Source organism: Homo sapiens, assembly GCF_000001405.40.
Source record: "Homo sapiens chromosome 22 unlocalized genomic scaffold, GRCh38.p14 Primary Assembly HSCHR22_UNLOCALIZED_CTG3".
NCBI lineage: Eukaryota > Metazoa > Chordata > Mammalia > Primates > Hominidae > Homo > Homo sapiens.
Genome location: NT_187388.1, coordinates 145,461 through 151,460, shown reverse-complemented (window position 1 = coordinate 151,460; position 6,000 = coordinate 145,461).

Below are 6,000 nucleotides of genomic sequence, written 5' to 3'. Positions count from 1 at the left end.
AGAAACAGACAGAAAGAGAGAGAGAGACGGAGAGAGAGTGAGTGAGAGAGAGAGAGAGAGAGACAGACGTGGAGGGAGAGAGACAGACAGACAGACAGGCAGGCAGAGAAAGAGAGTAAGACAGAAGACAGACACAGTGAGAGAGACAGGCAGAGAGAGAGAGAGACAGAGACAGAGAGAGAGAAAGAGAAAGAGACAGACAGAGATGGACAGAGAGACAGAGACAGAGAGAGAAACAGACAGACAGGGAGGGAGGGAGGGACGGAGACAGGCAGAGAGAGAGAGACAGGCAGACAGCCAGAGAAAGAGAGTAAGACAGAAGATAGGCACAGACAGAGAGACAGACACAGAGAGAGACAGAGAGACAGAGAAAAAGAAAGAGAGAGACAGACAGACAGAGAAAGAGACAGACAGAGAGAGAAAGAGAGAAACAGACAGAAAGAGAGAGAGAGAGAGAGAGAGAGAGAGAAACAGAAAGGGAGGGAGAGAGAGGGAGAGACAGACAGACAGACGGACAGGCAGAGAAGGAGAGTAAGACAGAAGACAGACACACACAGTGAGAGAGACAGACAGAGAGAGAGAGAGGCAGAGACAGAGACAGAGAGAAAGAGAGAGACAGACATAGAAAGACAGAGATGGACAGAGAGACAGAGAGAAACACACAGAAAGAGAGAGAGAGAGAGAGAAAGAGAAAGGGAGGGAGAGAGACAGAGAGAGAGAGAGAGACACAGACAGACAGACAGGCAGGCAGGCAGGCAAGGAAACAGAGTAAGACAGAAGATAGGAACAGAGAGAGAGAGAGAGAGACAGAGAGACGCAGAAAAAGAAAGAGAGAGGCAGACAGACAGAGAAAGACAGAGACAGACAGAGAGAAACAGGCATAAAGAGAGAGAGAGAAACAGACAGGAAGGGAGAGAGAGAGAGAGACAGAGAGAGAAAGAGAATAAGACAGAAGACAGACACAGTGAGAGAGGCAGAGAGAGAGAGAGAGACAGAGACAGAGAGAAAGAGACAGACAGACAGAGAAAGAGACAGACAGAGAAAGACAGAGAGAGAAAGAGAGAAACAGGCAGAGAGAGAGAGAGCTAGCGAGAGAGAAACAGAAAGGGAGGGAGAGAGAGAGAGAGACAGACAGATGGACAGGCAGAGAAGGAGAGTAAGACAGAAGACAGACACAGTGAGAGAGACAAGGAGAGAGAGAGAGAGAGACAGAGACAGAGACAGAGACAGACAGAAAGAAAGAGAGAGACAGACAGACAGAAAAAGACAGAGATGGACAGAGAGAGACAGAGAAACAGAGAGAAAGAGAGAAAGACAGAGAGAGCGAGAGAGGGAGAGAGAGAGAAACAGAAAGGCAGGGAGAGAGACAGACAGATAGACAGGCAGAGAAAGAGAGTAAGACAGAAGATAGGCACAGAGAGAGAGACAGAGAGACACAGAAAGAGAAAGAGAGAGGCAGACAGACAGAGAAAGGGACAGACAGAGAAAGACAGAGACAGAGAGAGAGAGAGAGAGAGAGAAACAGACAGAAAGAGAGAGGGACAGGGAGAGAGAGAGACAGACAGACAGACGGACAGGCAGAGAAGGAGAGTAAGACAAAAGATACACACAGAGAGGGAGAGACAGAGAGAGAGAGAGACAGAGACAGAGACAGAGAGAATGAAACAGACAGAGAGAGACAGTGAGAAACAGACAGAAAGAGAGGGAGACAGAGAGAAACAGACAGGGAGGGGGGAGAGAGAGAGAGAGAGAAGCAGAAAGGGAGGGAGAGACAGAGAGAGACAGACAGACAGGCAGAGAAAGAGAGTAAGACAGAAGATAGGCACAGAGAGAGAGAGAGACAGACAGAGAGACACAGAAAAAGAAAGAGAGGGGCAGACAGACAGAGAAAGAGACAGATAGAGAAAGAGAGAGGCAGACAGAGAGAGACAGAAACAGACAGAAAGAGAGAGAGAGAAACAGACAGGGAGGGAGTGAGAGAGAGACAGACGGGGAGAGAAAGAGAGTAAGATAGAAGACAGACACAGTGAGACAGGCAGAGAGGGAGAGAGAGGGACAAAGACAGAGACAGAAAGAAAGAAAGAGACAGACAGACAGACAGAGAAAGAGACACAGAGAGAAAGACAGAGATGAACAGAGAGAGACAGAGAGAAACAGACAGAGAGAAGGTCCTAGCCCAGTAGCGATACAGTGCCTTTTCTTTCATTTTCTCTTTCTTTTCTTTTTGTCTTTCTTTTATGTATGTATGTATGTATGTATGTATGTATGTATGTATGTATGTATGTATTTATCTGGAGACCGGGTCTCACTCTGTCACCCAGGCTGTAGTGCAGTGGCACGATCTTGGGTCACTGCAACCTCCGCCTGCCAGGTTCAAGCAATTCTTCCGCCTCAGCCTCCCGAGTAGCTGGGGTTACAGGTGCCTGCCCCACGGCGCCTGACTCAATTTCGTATTTTCAGTAGAGACCGGGGTTTCACCACGTTGGCCGGGCTGGTCTCGAACTCCTGACCTCGGGATGACAGACGTGAGCCACTGCGTTCAGTGTACAGTGCCATTTCTTAGAAATCACTCCTCACGGGAACACACACTTATGGGTGACGTGTAGAGATTTTAGTTAGTTAGTTAGTTATTATGTGCGCGGGGAGGTGAGGAGACGGAGTTTGGCTCTTGCTGCCCAGGCTACAGTGCAATGGCCTAGGGGACTCAAGGAGTCAACCTATGGCAAAGAGGACACGTCATTCTGAGCGTAAGGGCCGCAGCGAAAGGTGGCAGGGCCCGCGCTTTTAAAGGCTGAAATCCCGGCGGCTCAGGCCTGTCGTCCCAGCACTTTGGGAGGCCCAGGAAGGCGGATCATTTGTGGTCAGGAGTTCGAGACCAGCGTGGCCAACGTGGAGAAACCCCGTCTCTACTAAAAATAGAACGATGAGCCGGCCGTCATGGTGCGCACCTGTAATCCCAGCTACCGAAGAAGAATCACTGGAACCCGGGAAGCAGAGGTTTCAGTGAGCCGAGAGAGCGCCACCGCACCGCAGCCTGGGTGACAGAGCGAGAGAGACTCAGTCCAAAAAAAAGAAAGAAAAGAAGAAGAAGAAAAAAAAGAACGGGCCCAAATACTGCATTGTCGCTCAACGTTCTCCCAAAAGGCCAGAAACCTCCGACTCAGGTCAAGGAGGTGGTGTTTGGTTTTACTTCTCTCTCTCTCTCTCTCTCTCTCTCTCTCTCTCTCTCTCTCTCTCTCTCTCTCTCCCCCCCCCTCCCCATCTCTCTCTCTCTCTCTCTCTCCTCTCTTCTCCCCCCGAACTTTTATTTGTCCTTCAAGCATACATGAGCAAGATTGTGACATAGGTAAAGTTGTGACGGGGGTGTTCAGTGTGCAGATGATTTCATCACCCGGGTAGTCAGTGCTGTGTCCGACAGTATTCGTGTTTTGTTTTCTTCCTGAAGCTGTCTCTCCTTCCACCCCTCCTCCCTCAAGCAGGCTTCCGCGTCCCCGGTCCCCCTCGTTCTGCCCATGCAAGAACTGTCATCTGTAAGTTCCCACTTCTAGATGAGAACACGCGGTATTTAGCCGATCTTTGCTTTCATCTTCGGTGGTGGCGGTGAAAGAGGCATGACACTAAATCGACCCTTAGGACGCCGTTTATGTTGAAGTCGAGGAGCTTATCGGGGAAATAGGAGAAGTACGGACGCCACACGTGGCCGAGAGAAAAGTCTGAAAATGCCCCTCGCATCCAAGCGGGGACCCGGCCTCGACCTCCCGAAATCATACACCGAGTGGGGAAGCCCAGCAAGGCCCGCCTGTCTAGATTCCTCTCGGCCTCTCTAAGCACCGAAGCACGCGCTTCTCACTTTCATGGGAGGGGCAGGGCCCTACCCGGCACGGGGGTGTCTGACAGACTGACAGAGAAAGAGACAGACATAGAAAGACAGAGATGGACAGCGAGAGATAGAGTGAAACAGACAGACAGAGAGAGAGAGAGAGAGAGAGAAACAGACAGGGAGGGAGAAAGACAAACAGAGAGAGAGACAGACAGACAGAAAGACAGAGACAGAGAGAAACAGACAGAAAGAGAGAGAGACGGAGAGAGAGTGAGTGTGAGAGAGAGAGAGACATGGAGGGAGAGAGACAGACAGACAGACAGACAGACAGACAGACAGACAGGCAGGCAGAGAAAGAGAGTAAGACAGAAGACCGACACAGTGAGAGAGAAAGGCAGAGAGAGAGAGAGAGAGAGACAGAGAGAGACAGAGAGAAAGAAAGAGAGAGAAAGAGAAAGAGACAGACAGAAATGGACAGAGAGAGAAACAGACAGACAGGGAGGGAGGGACGGAGACAGGCAGAGAGAGAGAGACAGGCAGTCAGCCAGAGAAAGAGAGTAAGACAGAAGATAGGCACAGACAGAGAGACAGGCACAGAGAGAGACAGAGAGACAGAGAAAAAGAAAGAGAGAGACAGACAGACAGAGAAAGAGACAGAGAAAGACAGAGACAGACAGAGAGAGAAAGAGAGAAACAGACAGAAAGAGAGAGAGAGAGAGAGAAACAGAAAGGGAGGGAGAGAGAGGGAGAGACAGACAGACAGATGGACAGGCAGAGAAGGAGAGTAAGACAGAAGACAGACACACACAGTGAGAGAGACAGACAGAGAGAGAGAGAGAGGCAGAGACAGAGACAGGAGAAAGAGAGAGACAGACAGAGAAAGACAGAGACGGACAGAGAGACAGAGAGAAACAGATAGAAAGAGAGAGAGACAGAGAGAGAGAGAGGCAGAGACAGAGACAGGGAGAAAGAGAGAGACAGACAGAGAAAGACAGAGATGGACAGAGAGACAGAGAGAAACAGACAGAAAGAGAGAGAGACAGAGAGAGAGAGAGAGAGACAGACAGACAGGCAGGCAGAGAAACAGAGTAAGACGGAAGATAGGCACAGAGAGAGAGACAGAGAGACGCAGAAAAAGAAAGAGAGAGGCAGACAGACAGAGAAAGACGGAGACAGGCAGAGAGAAACAGAAAGAGAGAGAGAGAGAAAGAGACAGGAAGGGAGAGAGAGAGACACACAGACAGAGAAAGAGAATAAGACAGAAGACAGACACAGTGAGACAGGCAGAGAGAGAGAGACAGAGAGAGAGAGAGACAGAGACAGAGACAGAGAGAAGGAGACAGACAGACAGAGAGAGAGAGAGACAGACAGAGAGAGAAAGAGAGAAAAAAGGCAGAGAGAGAGAGAGAGAGCGAGAGAGAAACAGAAAGGGAGGGAGAGAGAGAGAGAGACAGATAGACAGACGGACAGGCAGAGAAGGAGAGTAAGACAGAGGACAGACACAGTGAGAGAGACAAGCAGAGAGAGAGAGAGAGAGAGAGAGAGACAGAGAGAGAGAGACAGAGACAGACAGAAAGAAAGAGAGAGGCAGACAGACAGAAAAAGACAGAGACGGACACAGAGAGACAGAGAAACAGAGAGAAAGAGAGAAAGACAGAGAGAGCGAGAGAGGGAGAGAGAGAGAGAAACAGAAAGGCAGGGAGAGAGACAGAGAGAGACAGACAGACAGACAGACAGGCAGGCAGAGAAAGAGAGTAAGACAGAAGATAGGCACAGAGAGAGAGACAGAGAGACACAGAAAGAGAAAGAAAGAGAGAGGCAGACAGACAGAGAAAGACAGAGACAGAGAGAGAGAGAGGAACAGACAGAAAGAGAGAGGGACAGAGAGAGAGAGAGAGAGACAGAAAGGGAGAGAGAGACAGACAGACAGACAGACAGACGGACAGGCAGAGAAGGAGAGTAAGACAGAAGATACACACAGAGAGTGAGAGACAGAGAGAGAGAGAGAGAGAGAGACAGACAGAGAGAACGAAAGAGACAGACAGAGAGAGAGAGAGATGGACAGAGAGAGACAGTGAGAAACAGACAGAAAGAGAGAGAGACAGAGAGAAACAGACAGGGAGAGGGGGAGAGAGAGAGAGAAACAGAAAGGGAGGGAGAGACAGACAGACAGGCAGAGA